The following is a 25,901-nucleotide window of genomic DNA, read 5'->3' on the forward strand; positions in this document are numbered from 1 at the left end:
TCATTCTTATTTAATTTGCATTTTCAATCAGGTTATTTGATTTGTTATTGTTGAATTTGAAGAGTTCGTCGTATTTTTCGTAACAGTCCTTTATCTGATGTGTGTTTTGCAAATATTTTCCCCTACCCTGTGGATTGTCTTCTAATTATCTTAGCACTGTCTTTTGCAGAACAGTTTTTAAATTCATCTTACCAATTTTTCTGTTTCTTGGATCATGCGCTTGACGTTGTATCTAAAAGGTCATCACCATACCCAGGATCATCTAGGCTTCTTCTTATGTTATCTTCTGGTAGTTGTATACTTTTGTGTTTTACATTTAGATCTAAGATCCATTTAGGATTAAATTTTGTGAAGGATGTAAGGTCTGTGTCTAGATTTCATTATTTTGCATGTGGATACACAGAAGCTCCAGCACCATTTGTTGGAAATACTGTCTTTCCTGCATTGTATGACCTTTACTCCTTTGTCTAAGTTAAGTTGATTTAAGATCAATTGTATTTATTTGGGTTTATTCCTGGGCTTTCTATTCTAGTCTTTCTCTTTCTTTTCTATTTTGTTGATCTATTTGTTTATTCTTTCACTAACATTTATCATATTTTAGCCTCTATAACATTTTCTAACTGATTGTACTTTTTTGGTTATAATCCATCTCTCCTATCCAGAATATAAAACACACAAAGATGGAGACCTTCATATATTTTGTTTTTTCTTTTATCTTTTTCCTATTTTTGTTTTCTATTTACTCTAGTGTACCCCAAATGATGACTTCAGTTCCTGTATATAATAGTTTCTCAGTACAGATCTCTGTCTCAAAAAAAAAAAAATTGCCCAATGCTATGCAGTAATTTTTTCAATCAGAAGATTTTATCTGCTTTTACTTAGGCTACATTTTTTACAATTCTATTTGCAAGGTATGTTCTGAGCCTCTAGATTTTTCTGATGTATAGCCTACTTGGACAAACTCTTGTTTAAAAGCATGTGTCAAAATATTTGAAGCTGTATGCTTGATTTTAAACTTTTTTTTTTTTTTTTTTTGAGACGGAGTCTCGCCCTCTCGCCCAGGCTGGAATGCAGTGGTGCAATCTCGGCTCACTGCAATCTCTGCCTCCCGGGTTCAAGCGATTCTCCTGCCCCAGCCTCCCAAGTAGCTGGGATTACAGGCGCGCGCCGCTATGCCCAGATAATTTTTGTACTTTTAGTAGAGACGGGGTTTCACTATGTTGGTCAGGCTTGTCTCGAACTCTTGACCTCGTGATCCGCCCGCCTTGGCCTCCCAAAGTGCTGGGATTACAGGCGTGAGCCACCGCGCCCAGCCTGATTTTAAACTTTGAATACAGCACAACTTTGAGTTGTTCACATTTTTAAGAGGTGCACAAGTTTCCCTGACATCACTTAGCAACTACCTGCAGTAGTTGTGCCTTAACACTCTCAGTTTCACATGGTAATATAGAAGACCAACAAACACTAGTTTTGTTCCTTCCAAGAGAGTTTACCAAAATACTTTTTAGAAATAGCTGTGTTTCACTGTTCACGGGGCGGTCAAGCTGTGCTGCAGGACAGAATATAAAATGAGTGCGGCCAAGGTTAACAAGCAGATGAATGCCACCCAGGGAAGAGACCTGCATGATTTGGGGTCACTGAGAACCGAAGACATGTACACTAGGCTCCAGTGGTATGGTACAGCTATTTATTTACAGAAAAAGAAGAAAAGCAGTGCAAGACTTTGTTTCCCCATGGCCAGAGAATCCACTCCATAGCCGATGTGGTTAGTGTGGCTGCAGGTCCCTCACTTTGTACTGCACTAAAGGGACCATGACCTCTTCCCCTTGGGTCTGAAATATAGAAAGCTGGGGGAGTGCCAAAGGATCACTGAAGCTTGGGCCTAAGCAGAATATTTATGGAACATACATCAAGCCTAAACAGGGAAAAGTATTTTCTTGCTGGAAATATGACAAGCCCGGCCCAGGCTGTGAGGGTTTTTTATCTCCCAATAAGAAATATTACAGGCCCAAGGCCACTCTTACGCAGCCATGCAGGCAGCAAGAAGTTGCATATGCTGCCTTTCTCAACTTGTTTGAACTTAACTTTCTAACCTTTAAGCTAACATTTAATTTCGTACCTACCACATCTTTACCTGGGGCAAGCTTGCCACACAGCATGTTGGACTGTTTCAGGAGAGTCATGGCCAAGATTTATTTACTGCTGCAGCAACTAACAAACATCCATCTTTTAGAACTGGGTTGTAAGAAAGCATAAATTCTTGTTTATTTGGTAATATCTTAAGTGTATTTAGGGGTGCCTAATAATATGTGTGATGGAAGACTGATTATATTACCATTAATTATAAAATTATATTACAGGTAACATATTATAAATCTAAGTAGTTAAGTAGGATGCTTGAATTCTAATAAAACAGTGAATACGACTATTACCTATATACAGTATTCAAGTTTTTAAAATTTGTGCTGTAAAAGTGGATTTATAAAAATTTTCAAAACCATTTATTTTATATAGTGTTCAAAAGCACGATAACTAAACATTAAAAGGACTTTATTTTTTAAAACAATATTGACATATTTTATTGATTATAGCCTAAGTGATCATTTATATTCAGTTCATAATGATAATTATTTCAAAGAGCTACAAGGTATCAAAATTCTTATTTAGAACGACATACATTTTATTGTTGATAAAACAAACAAGCTTCTGTTGTAATCAATAGATGAGATATATAACTAATTATCTTATAATTTTATTTAATCCTATAACTCTAAATCAGCATTTGATTAGAGAGCTGAAAAGACATTCAGCCTACAGAGGTTGAATATAATTAACCTCTGTGACATAAATGAATATAATTATTTATGTCACTGAGCACAGCATATTATCTAATTTGATACGCAAATGGGTACGTAATAACATAAATTACATGTTAAATTTCAGATATAGAACAATAATGAAACCCTTGCACCTTGCAGTTTATACAGGAAGATTATAATGATACCGGTTTTCTTGATCTTTTGGACAAACAAAATATATAGAGGTAGTTCTCTAGGTCAGAAAAATGCCCTGTTTAAAAGATTATCACAGGAAAAATTAGCATAAGGTCAGTTTTAAAATGTTCAAAAGACACTAGTATACTCATGAAAGTAGTTATTTTAATTGCTGAAAGTATTCACATATGGAAAATTGTTTCTACCATTTGCATAAAACATGCATGATATGTTTACTGTCCAAAAGAGGTTGGGAAATTTTAACAAAAAGCAGCATATCTGCTGAGGGGCCTATATGTTTTAAAAGCTTAAATAAAATCCAATGCATTTAATGGGATTGTTGTAAGATTTATATCTGGGTGGGGGCATTTTTAAATGAACTTACGTTGTTCTTAAATATTATTCTTTGAAAGAATTTCTTGAAAAAACTGAATATTGATGAATAATTGAGCTTATCTTAAAGTCCTTTAATTGACATAATCTAGCAAAGAAATGAGCTCATGTTTCAGAGCTCATTTGTGTATATAGAACAAACATCACTATATTTTTTCAGTATATACTTATATTGTCTCAAAAATTAGTATACCAGAATAGTTTTTAAGATATATATGCATATATACACATATACACATGCACACATATATATACATACACATATATATGTAGTGTACATATGTGTCCCACACATTAGAGAAAATAAAGGACATAGAATATAATTTTATTCTAATAAACTGCTTATCTGACTTAAGTGATAAATACAATAAACTTTGGTGTTAAACTTTGTCTTATGGAAAAGCACACAAAACAGTGAGAAAATATTGGTTATAGCTCTTCAAAATCAGTAGCTAGTTGGGATAATAACTCGCTATAGAACATTTTCTTCAGGAAAAACATTGTTATTGATTATCTTCATAAAAAAAATTTGTGTTTGATTTGACTCACATCATTCTTTTGTTACGAAGTTTTCCAGGTTAGCTTGAAGCCTAATCATGTATTCAGATTATCCTCAATGGTTCTCATCACTGTCTGCACAAAACAATCACCTGAGGCTTTATATAATACAGGTCCCTGGGTCCCATCTCTAGAGATATTGATTTAATTGGACTGGGTTGCATCCAGCACACTCGGGTTTTTAAGACTTCAAGGTAATACCAGAATGCAGCCTAAGGAGAGAACCACTGATGTAAGGGATTGATTTTTGTAAATACTAGACACATTCAAGATAATCAAAATTTTAAAACTTACATTTATATCTCCATTGTTTCCACACAGCTCCATCATTATTTTAAAACCAATCAGCCATTAGTTAGATATATTTAACACACATTTTTTGCACCAAAGGGTATAACTATAATTATAAATCAAATAGTTGATGATGATACTCCTTTCTCCAAACTCAAAATATAATTATGTATTTGTTCATTCATTATAAAAATATAAGTAGTTAAACAAGTTGGACTTTTTATGAATATACTTTTATATCTGAATTAAAATCACTTCCCGTGAAATTCTGTAGTGTTTGGTGAGGTGAGACATTTCCCAATGGGAGGCTCTCTTGTGTCTCATTATTATTAGGAACTTGTGTGAAAGTAAGTGTAACATCCACTAATTATGTAATGCTTCCTATAAAAGAATTGCAAGAGCCCCCAAATTAGTGTTCTATTAAGTTATTGTTTTAATGATGGTAATTATCACTGATGGTAATGTGACTGCTTCCTAGGAGCTAAAGTAAACAGTCTTACTTTGAAGAATGTAATACAGAACATAATGACTCATATAAATGAAATAGCCTGATAATCTTGTCAGATGAACTGTAACACCTTGTGGGACTATTAGAAACTATGTTAACTTGGATCTCTTCCTATTTACATAACGAGTTTTAATTTATGTCATATAAATTTCCTACACTGAGTTAGACTGAGGTCAACTCTGGATAGTCTCACTGTTCCAACAGAAGCCTCATGAGATCTGGAGTTCCAAATTTGTCTACAGAGTACTCTGTAAAGACACACACACATAGGTGCATGCAGACATACACAACCACACATAAACACACCATGAAGAAACAGAGGCAACTACAGCTAGATAGGACAAAAAAAAAGAAAAAAACCTCAAAGAACACAAAACTACAACAATCAACAATACAGAACCTCATTATAAACAATAAAACCATTCACAAATAGAACAATCAGAAACAATGAAAGGTTAAAGAAACAATATTGTCTATGAGAGATAGCTACAAATAGGCTCAGGCATGCATTAAAATGATTACTAAGCCTAATGTTCTTCCACTGATTCTTCTTAGCCAGAGTAGCTGGGGACAGGAATGAGATAAAGGGAGTAATATTCTTCTATACTCAAACCTTATCATAGGCTTGTGATTGAAGCCTGGGTGACAGGGGTGTGTTTCTCTGCAGGATTTCTAAGATACACTGTTATCTCTTTGGGCTTGTGCCTTGTAGCATTGTAAAGATGAACACTATATAGCCTATGATCCTATGATCTGATTTCTGCACTTCAAAATAAGTACTGCCCCAATTACTAATTGACATTTTCAAGTGTAAATTCTACAGAATAATGCATTCACATCCTAAATAATGGGATTCAATTCATTATTTTAAAGCACATCTTTTTTTCAAGGGTAAATGCATAGCGCTGTACTTTTCTGGAAACAAAGAAGCAAAAAAAGGGAACATCGATTTTACAAAAGTTAATTTCAAATACGAAAATAATTTACTTTTTATGTTATTGTTAACATGACGTGTTCATTAAGTGAGACATAAAATTATTAAAATTTATCTAGCAATGCCCTTTTAGGCAGCATTAACAGAAAAAAAATATTTCACAGGTATGAAATATATTTATTAACTCACTCAAAAATATTTCTTGAATGGATGCTATGTTCCAGGCCTTATTCCATGTTCCAAGAATGTAACAGTGAACAATACAGACACATTTCCTGACCTCACAAATCCTCCAATCTTCTGATCTTTGAGTCGATTTATTTTTAGTAACTTCTGAAGATAGAATTATTCTTCATGGTGTCATTATAATTTAATCCCTACATTCCCAACAAAATCCTTACATCAGTACTATAGTTGACAATTATAGATACTAACCTTTAAAAATAAAAACTTAATTTACTCAACATATTTTCAATTCACTAACAACTTATAACTACAATTTAAAATTGTAACAGATCTAATTTTAAAATAATCTTCATGTGGTCGCTATAAAAGTTTCTGACATGCTATGGTTTATATTACAACATCCAAAAAAAAAAAAAGATATAACATTCTCATTTTGAAGTTAAGAAAAAAAGTTCTATTATATCAAAACTGAATCAAAAGTTAAGAAAAAGGTCATGCACAGCTGTTTTGATTGTAATTGCATTACTTTTTTTTAAATTTAAAATATAATTGTTAGGACTAATCATCCTTATATTGTTATTTACTACATAGTTCTGTAAAAGTAGTGTTTTATTATATTTTTGGTAGTTGATTTTTCTTTCCTCTAGCAACTTTATTTAAATTTCCTGTACATATTTGAGTTTGTGCCCCCTGTTTTATAGCATCACAATGGAAGTGCTACTCTGCTGGAGTGAGGAAATTCTATTTGGAGTATGGGACAAGGTACTGATTTCCCACTGTAGTAGGATAATGGTTTCTTAAATATACAAGTCTTGTTGAATAGGAGGGGAGAAATGTGATTCAACAGATAAACCACGGGTATTTATAATCAGGGTGTGGTTACCAAAAAGTCTGATCCTAAGGTGTGGCAGACCAAGTGCCAGGCAGACTCTTGGGAAGCATCAAGGACCACCCAGTTCCCTAACTCAAGGAGCCCACTGCATTTACAATCAACAAACACAATTTATGCTCGTATGATTTTGGCCTACCTGATTCTTCATATCCACTCAAAAGTCTTATACTTATCCCATAATGATCTGTGGTGTTATTCACAACAAACAAACCAATGTTCCTTATCATTTCTCCAAACTCTCATCTATTTTGAAGCTCATGACAACAGTTTATGACACACATTGCCCCTTTTTGCCACAGCTATTTACAGATCTCCAGATCTATAATTTTGTCTCCCTCATTCTCTGGAAGTTTAGTAATTCAGCTTACTATCTTTCTCTTCCAAACTATCTCTGCAACTTTTCAGTAAATTTCCTATCCATATACACTATGCTTTCAATATCCATTTACACACGCAGTTCCTTTAGGAATTCTCCTTCAATGGACTTCTGGTCCCTGTTAGTTCAGCCATCTGAACTTTGAAAATTACCAGTAACAGCTAACCCCTCTTCCTCACTTATTACTAGGTTCATCCCATCTTCCAATCAATCCATTGATACTACTGTATTTTCACTGTTCACCATGTCTTTCCTACCTATCTGACTTACATCTTATGACCACTCATTATAATCTCTTTCCATTGTTCATAAAGCCTCAATACCATTATCAACACCCCTGTTTTATTTTCCTGAAAAAAATGTTTACTGTTTTCACTGGTTTTTCACTGGTCACCTGTTCTAAGTCATCATCGAATAAGTGAACTTAAAGGAGAAAACCTCACAACAGTGTTGAATGATCTCATTTTAATATCCTGACCACTGAACTCAAGGGATTCCTTAAGGCTGTAGGGTGATACCACTCTATCTCCTTATTCAATTTGCTCTCCCATTATTCTGCGTAACTGTTCCAATTATTCCCCACTCTATGGAACTAGAGCATTTTTCTTCCAGATACATATTCATGGCTATTATTTCACTGAGAAAGTAGAAAGTAAATGAAGAAAATGCCTGCATGGACCCATCATCGAGTCTATCAACCTTCCTATACTCCTATCCTCTTCCCACAACAAATAAGCTATATGCTCCTATATAAGTCTCAGCTCTACACTTGTGCAACAGATCCCATTACCTCTTGTTTGCAAAGCGAATTACTCCGGCAACTTCCCTGTCATGTTCCTGTATGATCAATGTTTTCCTTATTATTTGGGCATTTTCATTTGCATAGAAACATTGCAGTTTCTACGGGCTTAGAAACAAAGCAACAAAAAAAATAAAAGTCCATTGACTCTGCCTCTTCCTCTAATGCCTGACTTGACTGTTCTATTCAACAAAACTCATTGAAAGTGTAACTGTACCTACTGTCTGAACTCTTTCTCTTCCCATCCTCTCTCCAACAAACTTCAATCAGACTTTGCTTCCTCTACTCTGAAGAAACATCACATGCTGTTGTCATCTCTGCTCACCTGAATCCAGTGGTCAATTATCAGGACATGTTTAAGTTGACTTAACAGTATCTTTTCACACCCTGTTATCATTCTACAACTTTTAGAACATTAATTTCCTCAGACCACAACTACATTCTACCTTGGCTTAATTTTTTTTTTTTGCAAGTTTAAACTGATAATTTATTTGTGAGAAAAAAGGCTAGTTTTGATGAGAAAAAGTTCAGTCCTTTCCTTGTAAATACAAAGAAACTCAACAGTAACTTTAAAGGTAGTAGGACAGAAAATGCAAGAGTAACTCTTATAATCCTTTTCAATTAAACAGACAAATCAAGTTGAAGACAAGTGTTAAAATACTATTCGGCCTGAATATTTATCAGCCTATACATCCTGTTGTTCAATTGTCTTTTGATTTTAAAAAAAAGCAAACCAACAAACTTATAAGAGGTATCGCCCCATTTAGAGTGATGAAAATAACTTAGTTCTCCTCCCCAAAGATATTTTTTATCCTTTAAAAATGCTATATAATATCTTACACAAATTAACCAGTGTTTTTACAAAAGTAATGCAGTTTTGGACTGATGATATTACACTGTATTTGTGGTAAAGTACTAGGCACAAGATATATATACCAATTAGGCATTTTCAGTCTAATCAGTTTCTAAGGATATCATTTAATTCTTGGTAATATATAATAACTGGTATGATTTTGATACTTAAATCATAAATTGTGGAGATCAAGAAGCAATGTATTATAGTAACAGGGTTTATATCTAGCAAACAGTTGCAGTGTTGAACAAAGCTCTTCTATGAACTTACTGAATGTGTTTTGCCGTTGGTCACTTGCTGTAGAGCTTTGATTTGATTGTTCCGTCTTCATGCTTTCTCCATCTGCAGTCTTTAACATTTCTTCATCTTTGTCATCATGTAGGTCTTTTCAAATTAATTCTCTAGCTAGTTTGATATTCAGTCCTTCATTGTAGTGAAGCTTCCTTTTCATTTCAAATTGTCGCCTTTTTTCTCGTTCTTCAGGTGAGAGGTCCTAGCCTCCTCTCCACTGCTTTCTTGTTCCTGAACCCGATACTTTGGGTTCAAGCCTTCAGCAACAGCTAATTTCTTAGCTAAGATATCTGGTGCCACGGCTTCAGTGGTTTCTGTATCACTACACGCATCTTCACCATCACCCATCTTACGACAGTAAGGAGTGCTTGGTTCATCTATTTTCATTAAACCATAGTCTTTGTCCGCTGGATGATATGTCGCCAGGATGTTCATTTCTTCCCACTTCTGGGATTTTTTGCTCAGCTCCTCCTCGACACTCCCGCTGGGCTGTTCAGCCGAGGCCACCATAGAGGAAGCTGTAGAGGCCTTGTTCTTCAGGATCCCCTTCACTGGCCAGTGCGAGGCAGTCCAGGCCGCCATTTCTGGGCGCTCTGTCTGTTGGCTCAGGGTCGCTGCTTGGCGTGGAGTCCGGAAGAGAAGAGTCGGGCACTGGCAGAGACCGTCCAGGGAGGCGCGGAGCCCGCTCAGGGCTAAAGCGGCCGCATCTGCCGTCTCAGAAACGGCTACCTGGGTGGTTGTCACGAAACAACGACCCCGGCGCAAGAGCCAACGCCGAAGGAGTGGCGGCTGCTCACGGGCTCTTAGCCGCCAGCACTTCAGCCGCTGCTCGCGGGGAGACGCCGGCAAGAGCTCCAGCTCCGGAGCGACGCCAAGCCTAGCGGGCCCGCCCTCTCGCGATATCTTACCTTGGTTTAAATTCTATCACATTGGCAGCTGTTTCTCACTCCCCTTTGCTTATCCTTTTTCATTTTATGGATTTGGAATTTATTCTGTGTCTACGAACTGAGACTTCCAACCACTTCTCTATTATAATTTCTGCACCCTGTTGCTAAGTTATTTCGTGCAGTCCAATGCCTGGAAAAGTAGTCTGTATGTTTGATGACTCTGTTATACCACTTTATTCCGAGCTCGGCTTTTGTTTTTGGCACATCATAAGTCCTTTTAAAATACTGTTTGAATAAATATGGAGATGAGTGAGACGGAAAATATCAGGTATCTTTATGCAAGGAGCCATTGAGATGGCTATTAGCAGAACCAGTGCTAGTCGTTGGACTTTTGATCTTATTTTGAGTCCAAATTAGGAATTCCTTCTTTCATCATGAATTTAAAATGCATTATTTTTCTCTTAAAAATGGTGCCTGCCAGATGATTGATGACTTTATACTTGAATATCAGTCATTAAACATTTCATTTACAGTCAAAATATACTTAATATACTCAGCACTATTAAATCTCGTTAATTCTGAGAAGGGATTGAATGACTTGCAGTGTCATGATATCTAGCAATTGGGATGTTATAAGAAATACAGCTGATAGAGATAAATAGATGATAAATAACAATATTCTTTACACAAATTTTTAAAACAAATTACAGCTTTTATTTTTATTTTGGACTAAGATATAACTGGTATCAAGTCAGGAATAGTGTGATCTTGGGAAATTCATTTATAACCTCACATTCCTCTGTTGTAAAATGAAAAAAAAAATAACTTTCTCACTGAGTTGTAAGGAGTAAACAAAATAGAATAGTGACTGACAAAAAAGAAGCTCTTTACAAGTTAACAATAATTATGTTATTATGTAATCTCTTAATTCAAATTGACATCAAATTAGAAGTATATTTATTAAATACATTTGTGATGTCAAGATACACTAATATATCTAAGAGATTTAAAACCGAATCATATTTGACTTCTTTTCAGTGTTCATTCCTTTTGTAACAAGTGTGTGGTACTTATTTTAATATTTTTGTTATTGTTTTACTTGAACCATAAAATCACCACATGCTTTCAGAATACAGCATTCCTAGATTCATTCCTGATTCACAGAACTGGCTATCGTAAGAAAACAATAATAATACATTTTAAGCTGATTATTTTATATGTTCTCCAAATCAATCAGTTTCTAGACTACCTCCCTTGGCCCACTACTATAGCATATTTTTTGCAAATGTCAGGGCATATCTACAGCTTCTGTAATCATAAAAACTAATTTTCAGTCTTGGCACTAAGACTGTTTGCATATATTCAAAAGAATATTTGACTTTTGACCTTCTATTCATTTCCCTAACACTTTTCAAATTTATCCTTATTGATTCAATTCATTCTCTGTGAAATGTACTTTTTTCATGCCTGCGATATTTTTTTGTGTTTGACACAAATGTTTAAGTTAATATAAAATTTAGGTTAAGTACATCAAATACTAAGAATTCTAGTTCAATATATGGTGACCTTTAGAGAATTACTTATGTTAGAAAATACACTTTGTCAATGAATACTTACTTAGAAAAGCATTGTGTCCTGCTGAAGTGTTGCTTAAATAGAATTTATACAGTAATAGGTCACCTTTAAAAAATATGCCAGATCATGAAGGAACTGAGAAATAGGTTGAGCTAATGAAAAATGCATTGATGATGCTAAGACATTTGTCTGAATTTATAGAGCAAATTGTTGGGGGAGGCACAAGTAAGAAGGAGGCTTAATATTCAAAAGGTATTTTTTTATTAGTATCAGCGGAGCAAAGAACTATGTCTTCTCCCAGTATCTTAAACTAAGAAAGTAGACTTGTGACACAGGAATTTTCGGTGCTGCTTTGCCAGCTGGTGACTTCTGAGGCTGGTGACGCCCCTACCCAGGATTGCCCTTGGATTGCCACAGGAGGTACCCCACCCACTTGGTTCAGTGGGCTGCCTTTGGCTTGTGCTCCAGGCTGGATCGAGCACTCACGGTGGGATCCCACACTCAGCCTGCAGCTCAGCCGGGCATGCAGCAACCTTCTTCCACCTTGGGCACCTGCATCTGGATGAGGGGAATGCAGTGGCTGCCAAGAAACTCGGAGACACCAGCAACTCCAGTATTATTATTGAGGGGGTATCATTCCCACCCTTTGCAGCTCAGTGTAAGGGGTGTGTTAACATCTTTTTCAGTCCTGTTGCCCAACTCTGGCCTGTGGTTCCTGGGCAGACCCAGCCCCACTGCTACTTTCTGTTGTCTAGAGCAGCCACCGGACACTGGTGGAGGACCGTGGGCTACAAGTGCTTCAGCCTTTTTCATACCAGCGTTTGGCAGGTCCCAAGTTCTTGTCCCACTTCCAAGAAGAATGAAGTTACTCTGATAACTGAAGGATGAGGAGGGTGGAGACTTTTACTGAGCAACAACAGCACAGTTTTTAGCAGAGAGGGGACCCAAAGAGGGCAGCCCCCTACCCAAAGTCGAGTAGCCTGTGAGGTGCCTGAGTCCGGTTGAGACCTTGGTTTTTATGGGCTCAGAATGGAGGAAGTGCATGCTGATTGGTCCATGGGCAGGAGGAAGTGGTTCTGAGTTGGTCCATGGGTGAGTGTGGAAAAAGCGCCAACTGACTGGCTGAAAGGCATCAAGGAAGTTCCCACTCTGGGTTGCAGACCCTACCCTGAACTGGAAGCCCAGCCCCCAGGCTTTAGGTTATCCTTGACTTGATGGTTGGGCCCCACCAGGGACCTGCCCTGCCTAGGAACCTGTCTGCCTCCCGCCACCACCGATAGCATCTTTTATTAATGTAAGTTCACAAATACTACATCTTAGATTGTAACCATTTAGTGCTAGCATTGAATAATTATATACTATAAGAGGAAATATTTTAAGACAGAATTAGTGACTATAGTTATAAAGTTATAAGTTGAGCTATTATCTATTTATTTTTGGATAGTGGGGTGTCTTTATAGTTGCTAAAATTTTAATTCCGGTTTAATACAATACACTTAAAAATTGTTTAGTTAAAATGTATATTCCATCAACTTAATTCAGTTTTTATGTCTCCTCATGCAAGGAGCAAGAGGTTGGTAGACAGTTTAATTCAAATGAGAGTTCAGAAATTAGAAACTTGGCAAAATTGCCAAATAGCTTGCACCAGGCACTCTTTTAAAGTAAGCATTAAAAAATATCAACTCATCAAGCTGTGTCAACACTTTTATTCTCCTCATTTATTCTGCAAGGCAATTCAAAATCCATGAGATTTGTAAGATATTGACCATAATGTTTGCATCCTCTATGTTTTAATGAAATCCTTTTTTCCCTATTATATAAGGGCTCCCAAAACAAACTCATTATATTCTACATCAAAAATATAATATTTTAATTATGGAAAGTTCTTTTAACTTTCCTTAATAGTCTTAAAGTATTTATTCCATAACTCTAGGTACAATTATATATGTGAATACATTTATATGTTTTAAAGTCTCAGTCATTTTTGTGTTTTATGAGAAAATGAATTGTTTTCAAACTCAGTTTGAAATCTTCATTAAAAATAAAATCTAATGAGTTATGTAGTGAAACTCATTTTAATGTCACTTATATATAACTAGAATTAAAGAATTAAGACAATATTTCCCATAGTTTCAAAAACTATCCTTCTCTTCCACTATTATTGACATAGTCAGTGAATAAATTATCTAATTTACCATGTTCTCACATAGAAGTGATGGTTTCACCTTTTTGAAACCATGATCTTCTAGAAAATGGGGAAAGCCAGCATGCTAAAATCAGCAATCTCTATGATGCCACAGGCATAAGCAGAAAAAAAGTCATGTTTCCCTAAGTTAATTTCTGAATAAAATAAAAATGTGTGGAATTGGGAGGGCATAAGATAGAGAGACAAAAGAGGATTAGAGAAGTTACAGAAACTCCTTGAAGAAGTGACAAGCAGAACAGAGACAGGTCAAAGTAGATTTATTTTTAGGTCAGTATTTACTTATAAGTTGTGATGGGCTTCTAAGCTTACACTTTTAATATGTCCCTTCTTTTCTCATAAAGTGATGAAGCATGGTTTTATTCGACTGTAATTAGTTTGGAGAAAAAGTGATTTGAGAAATTATCTCTTTTACATAATGATGATATTTTATGGATAATTAATGTTCATAACATTAGATTTTTAAGCAAGCAAATAAAACAATGCTAACAGCTGTTCTGATCCACATTTTAATATAAGAGTTTTCACAGATAGTTTGTGATTTTGTTTTTAGAATATCCAGGGAAGTGGATGTGTTGTGTTTATATGTGAAATGACATAAAATTACTTTAAGATTTTGGAGAATATGATAAATGAAGACTTAAAGAGTCTCATTTTTCAGCTTCTAATGTTCCCTTGAAGAGAATGCCTAAAGTAAAAGCAATGTTAGTTTTTCACCTCATTTCACTGATGAAGTGGTAATTCACAAAAGTGCCTCTGTAAGTTGAGAAAGTATATCCAGGTGTATAAATTTGAATGCATTCGAGCATTTGGTTTTTGCTTCAAGCTACATTTTTCCTTTATATCAGAAAACCTTTGAGACACAAGTGGTTAAATGAAGAATAATTAGAAGCAAGGTAACATTGAATAAGCATAACCTAAGTACAGAATGATGCCTCAACACTTTCTGTTAATGAATATTTATGTCCTTTTACTGCTTGTGCAAACACATATTTCTGTGCATATTCAGTTAGCTTTAATATTTTAAATAAATTTTTAAAAGGTTTAATTTTAATACCTAACTTTTGCTTAAAATATATCTTTATTCAAATTATTTATTCCATTGTGCACATCATAACCTTTTACTTCAGGTTCTGGATGGTTCCATAATGTTTGGTTAAGAATTTGTTTCTCTAAATGCTGAATAATTCATTCATTTAATGAGAAATATATAATCTTGTATTTCTCTAAACTTGCAAATTCACTTATACTTCACCTAAGAATGCACCATCAGTTTATTTATTTTTAAGAAAAACTGAAAAGAATGATTAAGATAGTATTATTTGAATTTATATTTCATTTTTAGAGCATAAAATGAAATAATGATTCTTGTATCTTCATAATATATATTATAATCCTCAAAGGTCTCTAATATACAAAGTAAATTTTTCACCTTCCTTCTTTGCTACTTTACCCTATTATTATTCTTGCTTTGTGCCATTTTGTTTCTGCCATCTTATTCACAAAAATAAAAATATTTTTAAGCATATGTCATATTAATGTACTTTGAAATGTATTATATATTGTAAGTAGCCTCTGTGCAAATTAATGCTCTTATCTTATTTGAAGTTTGTTTATTAAAAAATATGATTAGATTTTCTAGATATTTTCTGGTTTACCTTTCCTTAAAGTGTTTGCATTAATCACTGTGATTACTGTATTTTTTTTAATTTACTTTTCGTTCTTCCTCCTATAATATGGTCATTCTCCCTTTCCTTCAGCCAACTGGAATACTTAGTTAATTTATTCTTTTCCTAAATGAACATTTAGTTATTTACTTTATAATTGTGAAAAAGTTTTATCTATATCTTGTGATATTTTATGTCATGGAAAGTTTTCTTTTTATAAAATTTATTTGATTGTTTCCATTTTTATTTTTTGTGGAAACTTTAAGCAAATCCTAAGGAATCTAGAAGAGCCAAATCAATCTTGAAAAAGAGCAGAGATGGAGATTATGCCCTACAATATATCAAGGATTCCTATTCTGCAATAATTAAAATAGTGTAGTATTAAACAAAAATAGGATGTACACTAATGGAACAAAAGCCAGTCCAGAAAAAGACTCACCTCTATAGGCTCATGATCTCTCTCTCTCACTCGCTCTCTCTCTGTCTCTCTCTTTAAATATATATATATGAAAAAGTATAGCTTATTTTTTAATAAGTCATGCTGAAGAAATTTGATATTCATATTGGATTTAAAAACACCTTGAACTTTAACCTCAATCCATAACAAAAGTCATGATTTCCTAATAATTCAAGAGAATTCAATAATTCTCTTTGCGTGTGTGTGTGTGTCTGTGTGTGTGTGTGTGTGTGTGTGTGTATACACACATGCACAGGGGCCAAGACTGGACTGCGTACTGCAAAAAAGAGTATAACCAAGTTGCCTGAAAGCTAAACATATTCCAACTTGCTCATTAATCTTTGGAGTCTTTCAAATTAAACAACAATAAGATACCAATCCTCACCTATCATAATGTTTATTTTAATTGTGCTAAGTAAACATTATTCCCTCCATGTATTTAATAATCTTTATAGAACACATAGCACAATATTGCTTTTTCTCATTAGAGAATCACAGTGCGTGTTTCCTGAAGTAGAACAATATTCTAAGTAAGATTTAATCTCAGTTCATAACTGACTGAAATTCAAGGGTAATTTTACAGTTTTAAAATATCCGCAGGTGAAAGAAATATTGTATTCCTTTTTTTTTTCCTGAGCAAAATAAATCTGTCCCGCTCCCCTTACTCTCTCCAGAGTTAATCTTTAATTGTTTATGAAGATTGCCAGTTGAAAGCATTTGAGCATCCTGAGTGTCCTGAAGTTTATACACTTCAGGGAAATGGGAAGAACTTCCTGTTGTTGCCATGGCTGACATGCACCTTTCCTGGGCCAACTTGGCACCTTTCTTGTGCCCACATGGCCCCTTCAAAGTTCAATAGTAAACTCCCCTAGAATGATCTTTCCTCCCAAAGGCAACATTCAGCCAACAAGGTCTTTGCTTAGAATCCCAAGGCAGAAGTGCTGCATGTTCATTTTCAGCCTCTGCAAAGACGTATATATGCAAATTATTTGGTATTATTCATGCAAACAGCATTCAAATACCTAATGGTCTCAGTTTAGGATTTCCAGCACTATTTCTAATGCCATACTACACCTGTCTCCCACATCAAAGCACTGGAATTTCAATCTGCCCCGCCTCTGAGATAATCCACTTTAATCTATTTCACTCCCTATTGCCCCTAGAAGCCAATATTAGATAAAATTTAACATATCATTCATTCTGGGATAAAGATAGCATAAAATCATACTGTGGTGCTTGCACATGATGTTTGTAAAAAAGAAAAAATCAATAAAAGTATTCCTTTTTCTCTGGTAACATATTCTCTATTACCAAATTTGTGAATGTGTGGGGAGGAATCCATTCACTAGGGGAAGGGAATCAACAAAGCTCTATTTATCTTAATAATTCCCGTGCTCCACAAACAAGAATAAAGTAAATTCCACCAGAGTAATTCAGGAATCTTTACACAGGATAATATTTTCCTTACCTAAAATGCATTTATAGGCATTTATTTCTTAACATCTCTTTTTTCAGCCACATTAATTTTCACACTGAAATCTGTGATGCTTTATACTTATTGATGGCAATTAGAAAAGAGAAGAAAAAGGAAGTTGGCAGTAAAATGCGAAGTAAAGAAAAAGGTAGATAGATGGGCACATTTTTGCAACAATACTTGGAATAGGTAAATGATGCAGATGAATAAATAAACTCAAAGCTACAGGCCAATATCTATGAGAAAAAAAGCTGAAACAAAAGGAGGAGGTTATGCCAGACTTTGTTTTTTTGCTGTGGTGGAATCAAAGGTAGAAAGGTAGAACTAGGTATATATTTAGCAGAAAAATTGTGTGCTTACTGTACTAAATAAAAATTATCTTGGTGACAATCAGGTTTAAAAAATATAAAGTAAAAATTTTAAGAAATTGAAATTCTAGATAAAAATTGGATAACTACTCTAGAAAATAGAAATTTGAATAAATATTTTTTGAAAAATAGAAAAACTCAGGTTAAGCTTCATAAAAGTACCATCTGAATACTCTAGAAAGAATAAATCCTGACAAAATTTTTAGCAAATAAGGATTGGTAAGTGAAAATTAATTGTCTAGGGGCTTTTATAAGTAATTTAAGTGTCTATGATTGCTTGACTTGATGTCCATGTTATTGAACATTTCAATGATCAAGAATCAACAATTATGACACTGAGCTATCAAAACTGGTAAAATTGTTACAGAGCTTAGAGAGGTACATGTAAATAGGCGACTAATAAATGTATCTTTTGAATAAATGAAATATATTAAATACGAAAATAGATTTCTGGAATATTAAAGAAAGTTTACATTTATAGATATAATTTAGAAATGATGTGACTAGAGTTGATCATTGAATACTAGATTGGCTAGCACTTTCTGGGAAAAAGCATTAAACATAACACTGACAGTGTCCAAAGCTGCTCTTTGAAAATATTCAACAGAAAGTGCTCAATTGAATAATTTTACTCATTAAATTGATGTGATATATCAGATATGCTTAATTCAAATCTCTTTTAGGAGTGGATGGACAGCTTAGATTTTCCTTCCACTACAGTACCACAGACAGTAATAATCAAATGATGGTTGTAAATGCTAGTTGATTGATTACTAAGCAACTTATAAGCATTTTTTCCCCTTTAATAATGTTCTATACTTACCAGGTTGGATCAGTGATGAAATGTCCAAGGCCTGAAATTTCTACGATTAGTGTCATTCTTTGTGATAAGATATTATTTAATCAGAAGGACCATGTCCAAAAGAAAATTTGTTTCCTGGGAAAGGGAGCATATCAGCCTATTATGATACATTCATGGATAAGAATGACCAATCATGAACTCTGGGTATTTCTACTTTGATGCTGCAGAGATTGCAATTACATTTGCACTGATATATTTTCAGCCTGAAATAATATGTTAAGCTTTTGATATCTGCCCTAAGAAATGATGATGTTGGCTCCGAAAAAGATTTCTACCATCAAGGGGACTAAAGGAGTTTAAAACTGGAAGCACACCCTGGTATTAAAACCAGGAAAACAGTGGACTGTAAGAGATAGACATCTGCTTTTTAAATCGTATTTTTTGGAAAACAAAAAAGGTTTTCTCATTAATAGATTTCTTTCACTGAATATAAACATAAGCTTAGATCTTGATGTAGTTAAAGAATATATTCTTCTTTATTCTTTTTTCTTGATGCTAATCTAATTAAAGCTATTCATCAGGTACCCCATAATTTAGCAAACAATTGTTTTCAAAAATTAGAACAAAGTTGTCAGCAACTGTTCAACACTGATGAACTCCTGAAACACTTCCTTGCTCTGGTTCATCAAAACAGACAGTACATTTTAGTCAAACACCCTGATGATATACACATTTTCAATATCTAGTTTTTATATATTCTTTAATTGTGGAATTGTTGGAAAATTCCCAAATGTTCATTTGCCTCCTCTCATTAAAAATGGGCACCTATCACTTCTGTTTTGAATTTTAAACAATGCATTTAAACATTTCATTACTATTAATGTTAAAAATAACCCTTGCTTTTTGATGTAGATACACTGACTTTTTTCCTCATTTGCTGCATTAATTTGATAACAGTGTAAAATTGTCCTAAGCTATTCTGCAAATTTAAGGCTACACAAACACACACACACACACACACACACACACACACACACACAATAAAAATTAAACAGAAGTAGAAAATAGTTACTAAACAGCCAGACTTTGATATATGTAAGCTGCTACTTTGTTTTGTAGGGTTTCAAAACTTAAGCAGATATATTCTTTTCCCAGTTCTTCTGATTTATTTTTACTCAAATCCTGAACATTATGTTAATCTTCTGTATGTTTGACATTGCTTAATATCAGTGAGTACTTATTCTAAAATAAAGCTCTAATTCCATTTCTTCTTACGACTTAGTACACATTGTTTATGGTGGCTCTTGCCTGAAATAATGAGATGGAAGTTGATCTCTCTTCTTTCTCTCTCTCTCCTTCTCTCTGTCTCTCACACACACGCAGACACATGCGTGCATACACACACACACACACTGTCACGCTCATAGGATCAATATTTATGGAGTGTTCACTGAGTCCCAGGCATTTTCTCGGCCATTAGTAATACAGCAGTACACAAGACCAAGTTCTTAGCCTCTTAGCCTTTTGGGAATTACATACTGGCATCTGAGTCTACTTGTAAAAGTTGTTTTTTAATGACTACCATGTAAAGTATGTTCATTCATGGCTTGTGAGTAATATATTGGGGTATTAGGAAGTTAATATTTATATAGTTAAACTAAATATAACATTTAGTTAAAATATGAAAAACATGGAGCGCCTTTACATAGTTAAACCTACTAGTTTTCTAGCAGTGCCAGTGAAATAAAACAATAAATTATAATTTGAATGGTATTTAATCCACAAAACTCTATCTTCACTTTTTAAAAAATCATTCATATGATCAAAAAGAAAGGTACTAACAATACTACTGCATGGTTAGTGAATAATTCTCAATAAAATAGAGAATAAAATGGCCAACTACAAACTTATACGTTAAGCTTATAAGACATTGATTAAGCAACAAATTTAATAATAACTTGTATCATTTTCTGTGAAAAAATAAAGTTTAACAAGAGGTGTACACATGTGATAAAATATTTGAACAATGAATATCATTTCATTTTTCATGCGTTTATATGTAGCTATCAGTTTTTTTTTCCTGTCCATGATAAAATTGTGGGAAAGATAGAATAACTCTTACAAGACTAGTATTAACACTTCCATTTTTAAGATAAGGAAATGGGTTCAGAAAATACACATAAATATGGAAGAAAAATTAATAAATTATAAGAATATGATGTAAACCTATGACTGTCATCACCTTCTAATAGTTCTTAATTTTTCCAACTTAATCCTTTATGATATTATGTTCAAACTGCGGGCTCTAGATAACATATGAATATTGTTTTACATAAATATCTACTACTTACTGTCTGTGCTTTCTCCAGTGCTAAATAAAACCATAATTCAGTTTCCTTATCTCTAAAATTTGAATAATAATGGTAACCTATCTTATAGCTATTATGGAAATTATTATTTGAAATAGTATACAATGTCTGTTATGTCAACTGTTATTTAGCACAGACTCTATTGATCTTAATTTCACTTTTCTTTTAAATCTTCTCTTTCCAGGATATGTATGTATGCAGTGTGTGTGTTCTTTTTGATAGAATTACCAATCACCAGCCCTTACATTTTGGCAACACATTAAGCACACACAAAAAATAATGCCCATTTGTACTTTTCCCACTCTTATACTTTTGTAATATTAAAAATTGGTGACATAGAGCATGCAATCAAAACCTGCAGAACAATTATATAATTCTAATATTATGCATATCACTTCCATTGTTAGTAAAATTAACAATGTTAGCTCCACTTCAATTAAGCCGAAACTATCTCTGTAGCCTTTTCCATGTATTGCAGAAACAATACCTTGTTGATATCATCAAATATTCCTGAAAGTCATTGCAATGGTAGCATAACTCTAACTCTAGGTTAGCACAGTAACACATCACATTTCTTCTCTGCTATTTTTATTTTTCTTAGTGAAGTAAAATTTCTTTATTCTTCTTTCAGCTTTTATTTAATTTCGTTTTCTCTCTTAAGTGCTGTTTATTCATACATATTAACTATTCCTTGTCTAAAATTCTTGGAACCAGAAGTGTGTAAGATTTTGAATTGTTTGGGATTTTGAAATATTTGCATACACATAACGAGACGTCTTGAGGTTGAGACACAAATGTAAACACAAAATTTATTTTTCATAAGCACTTTACCAAGATAGTCTGAAGCTAACATTACATAATATTTTTAACAATTTTGTGCATAAAATAAAGTTCTTGTACAGTGAACCATCAGAAACCAAAAGTGCTACTATCTCAGCCACCCACGTGAACAGTCTGTGGGGCTTTTTTTTTTTGGCAAGACCATCATTCCTAACTCTGAATTTATAACTACTGATAAGCATTTTCTTATATTTTTTTCACACATAAGCACCTAACCATAATAAATATGACATAATATTAATACAGTGAAAAAATAATAGGTTTAGGGTAACTAATCAGCACACCAGCTTCACCAGAATACCTTTAACAGCTGTTAAACAACAGCAACAAAAAAGAAGAGCAGGCTTTCAGTCTCCACCTAAGAAGCTGTGTTTTGATTAAAAGGTTACTGTAGACAGTATTTTATCTTTTATAGGTGAGAAAAAAACACTAGAAACAGTCGCCAACCAGGAAGTGGATCCTGTAGGGATGAGGAGACATTCAGCTGGATGGCTTTTTTAAATGCTTCCTCCAGAATCATCTGTCTCATTAACAACATTCTTTGTCTTAGAAGTCACTTTCTGATTTTATGAACTGAGAAGATTTCTGTTTCTGTTATGAGTGCACACTGCTTTAGGCCTTCAATAAGCTCATCACTTATTTTCACCATGTTGTCGTGGGCTCTTTTTCTGCAACGTATAAATCATCTTCAAGATCACTATTTTCATGATCACGTTGATTCGGAACCATTTTGGCTATTTGATCATCAGTCAATGAATGAAAATCTGCATTCTCATTATCACTGTTAAAAACTTCCTAAATTCCACTTCTTCCGGCTTACTGAGGGACTCTGAAGGTATTTTTTGCATATGTAAGGAGATCAGACATCGTTTTTTTTCCCTCACTTGATATGTGGAATCCTTCAAACCCACCACCTTATTCATCATCATCACTAAACATGGTTACAGACTAGAGGCTATTCCAGACATGCACAACTGTGTCTTTAGTCACTTTATTCTAAGCATTGGCAACAGCGTAGATGGCATCCTTCATGCTAAACTTCTTTTGAAAACCTTCTACAGTCAGATCTCTGTTCACTGCTGCTAGCATGCTCTTCAAAAAAAGTGTTTTTATATTTACTCTTTATTGATCTAACAATATCTTGGTGATATGACAGAATTAATGAAGTCATGTTTGGGGAAAAACACATGGCATAAAATTATTTTTGATGAGAATTTCAACAGGAGGATGAGGAGAACAGTTGTCAAGGAATAACAAAATCTTGCAATCATCATCCAGTCCAGCGACGCTGCAGTGAGCTTGAGCTGCTGGTACAAAATGTTTGTGAAACCAGTCAAAGAAGACGCCTTGATGATTCATGCTTTCTTGTTAGCATAATAATGGACTAAGAAATTTACTCCTTGAAAAGAGTGAGGATGCAAGCTTTTTCCTATCACAGGAAGTTTATACTTATGTTTGCCTGTTGCATTAGTACATCCCAGCCACTTATTCTGTCCTTGGCATACTTAATTCCTATAGTGGCTGTCTTATCAGCTCTAGTCGATGTCTTTCTAGAGCAACAACACCAAAACAGAAATGAATGTTTCATCAGCATTATAGACTTGTTCTGGCATCAGGTCTTCATCAGCGATAATCTTGGTATACTCATTAATAAATTTATCTACAGCCTAATGGTCAGCAGATGCTTTATCCCCATAAATCTTTAAAAATGTAATGCCATGACTTTTCTTAAATTTTTGCAACCAATCTGTTTAATATTCAGAGTTCTCTTCAATTTTCTAGTTCATTGTAATAGATCTTTGCTAATGTCATGATCCACACACCATTAAGTGGCATGCTTTATAAATAAAGCATATTTATTTTTAGCTTTATTCAGCGTTTTTGTATTTTTCATTATCTTCTGCTGATCACTTTCAGCACAGATCTTCAGCAGTTTACCCTTAAGTTTCTTCAGGTGTATATATGTGTTTCTTCAGGGATGCTAACATATCCACTTTGGTTACACAACTTACATATTTATTTTTAGCTTTATGCAGTGTTTCGTATTTTTCAATATCTTCTGCTCATCACTTTCAGCACAGATCTTCAGCAGTCTATCCTTGTGTTTCTCCATGGGTATATATGACAGTTATTCTACCACCATATTCTTCTGTAAGATGTTTCACACGTACACTGCTGTCCAGTTTCTCTAGCAACTTGACTTTCTCTTATATAGATAAACAGAAACGCTTTTATTTTTTCTTATTACCATTACCCACAGAGGTATTTGCAGACCTTTTTGACATTTTCAGTAATGTCTTTACACCAAAGAGCAGAGAATAAGCAAGAAAAAGCACAGTCAGTAATGCACGTAGGTCTTGGCCCCATGTAGGGCACTGGTGGGAACACACATCCAGCCTGTGCATGTGCCATTTTATTACCCTTCGTAGAAGGGCATGGAGAAGATATATCACAGCTGAAGTGGGCTAAGATGGTCATTTTTCCTTGGAGATGCTGAATAAACTGTGGGTCGTGCCTTTTGACTGCAACCTATCACATGAAGTTAGGTGTGGAATTTTCCACTTGTGGCATCATATTAGCACTTAAAATGTTTCAGATTTTGAAGTGTTTTGCATTTCATATTTTCAGATTCAGAATGCTCAACCTACAATGGGTTCTGATATATTTCTTCACTTAATTTTTGTAGATATTTAGATTCTAGTGTTTCACTTATTTTAATAAAATACTTAATGTATATTTGATTTATAGTGAAGAAAAGCAATATGTAAAAAAGGAGAAATACAAAAATAGCTATTTATTATTGTCCTTTATCCACCACTGAGCTCTCATCTTTACCACTTAATCTGTGGGAAAATTTCATATTTCACGTATTCCTTGAAACACATTACCATGAGTTTAAAGTTATAGATGGTTTTTCGAAGAATGAAGGCTATGAAAACATTTGTCTCTTTGGTAAAAAACATTTTAAGGCAATTTTATGAACATATGAGTAGATATTTCCTGAATATCTATGATGATAACGCAAAAGAAAAATCCCAGGTTGTGACATAACAATTTGTAAAATACTTCAATTGGAGTAGAAACAATTGTGCAAATTACTTCATGTCAGTGAGGCTCAGTAGTTTACTCTGTAGTATGAGAAAATACTACTTTCTTTACAGTATTTCTCTAAGAATTTAATTGCACATTACTTTGGAAAGCACTCTAAAAGTTTTTAAGTTTGAAATATGCCTAACATACAAAACAAAATAGAATAATATAATAGACATCCACGTATTTACTTCCATATTCAACAATTTTAATTAAACTTGCTTTATATTATTTCTGAGTATTAAAGAGGGAGTCAAAATTTTCCTCTCCTGAACGATTTCTATTTTATTCTTTCCCTCTCTGGTGTCGCTGTGCAACTTTCTTATTCATATTTCACATTATCATTAAATATGTATGCTTGAACAATATTCAGAAATGTTTTATAATTTTTCTTAATTAATACATTTCATCATATTATACTTATTCCAAACATAGTGGTTTCTTACTCAACATTATACTTTTAAGATTTATTCCCATTGATGCATTTGGGTCCAGCATAATCAAGTGCTGTTTAATATTCTATGAAATAAATGTTGAGTAAGTTAAGGATACTTTCAGTTTACTTAATAGAAATTCCCGACAACCTTCCATTTAAATTTAGGGGTTGTTTTCTCAAATAATAAAGATTTGGACAGAGAGTCAGTCACTAAATAATGTTATTGTAAGCCAGGCTCACTTCTTTCCATCAGCAATCCTCACATTCATTCTTAGACCCGTAGCCTCATAACTGAAAGGTAGTTGCTTCAATTCACCATATTATGCCCTCACTATTAAGCAAGAACTAGGCTGGTCTCCTATGTACAGCCCCTCAACACACACACACACACACACACACACACACACGCACGCACGCACACACACACACGTCTTTATAGGAAGAGAAATAACTTTCTCATAAACCTCACAGGAGATCTCTCTTCAAATATTACTAACCAAGATATAATTTACATGGACTAAAAGGCAAAAGAGAAACTTTGAAAGTGTTTGTTTATTTTCCATAGTAGAATGCCAGAGAAAGTGGCATATAGAGACTGACTTATGGCTGCTAATAATAACGTCTGCCAATAACATGTCACCATTTATTCAAGCATTTTT

The 25,901-nt window shown here is 34.1% G+C and overlaps 1 pseudogene; it reads right to left on the reverse strand.

Annotated features, from left to right (window-relative positions):
• Positions 8,398-9,952, reverse strand: PPP1R2P10 (protein phosphatase 1 regulatory inhibitor subunit 2 pseudogene 10; annotated as a pseudogene).

The sequence above is a fragment of the Homo sapiens genome, chromosome 13 (genome assembly GCF_000001405.40).
Source record: "Homo sapiens chromosome 13, GRCh38.p14 Primary Assembly".
Classification (NCBI taxonomy): domain Eukaryota; kingdom Metazoa; phylum Chordata; class Mammalia; order Primates; family Hominidae; genus Homo; species Homo sapiens.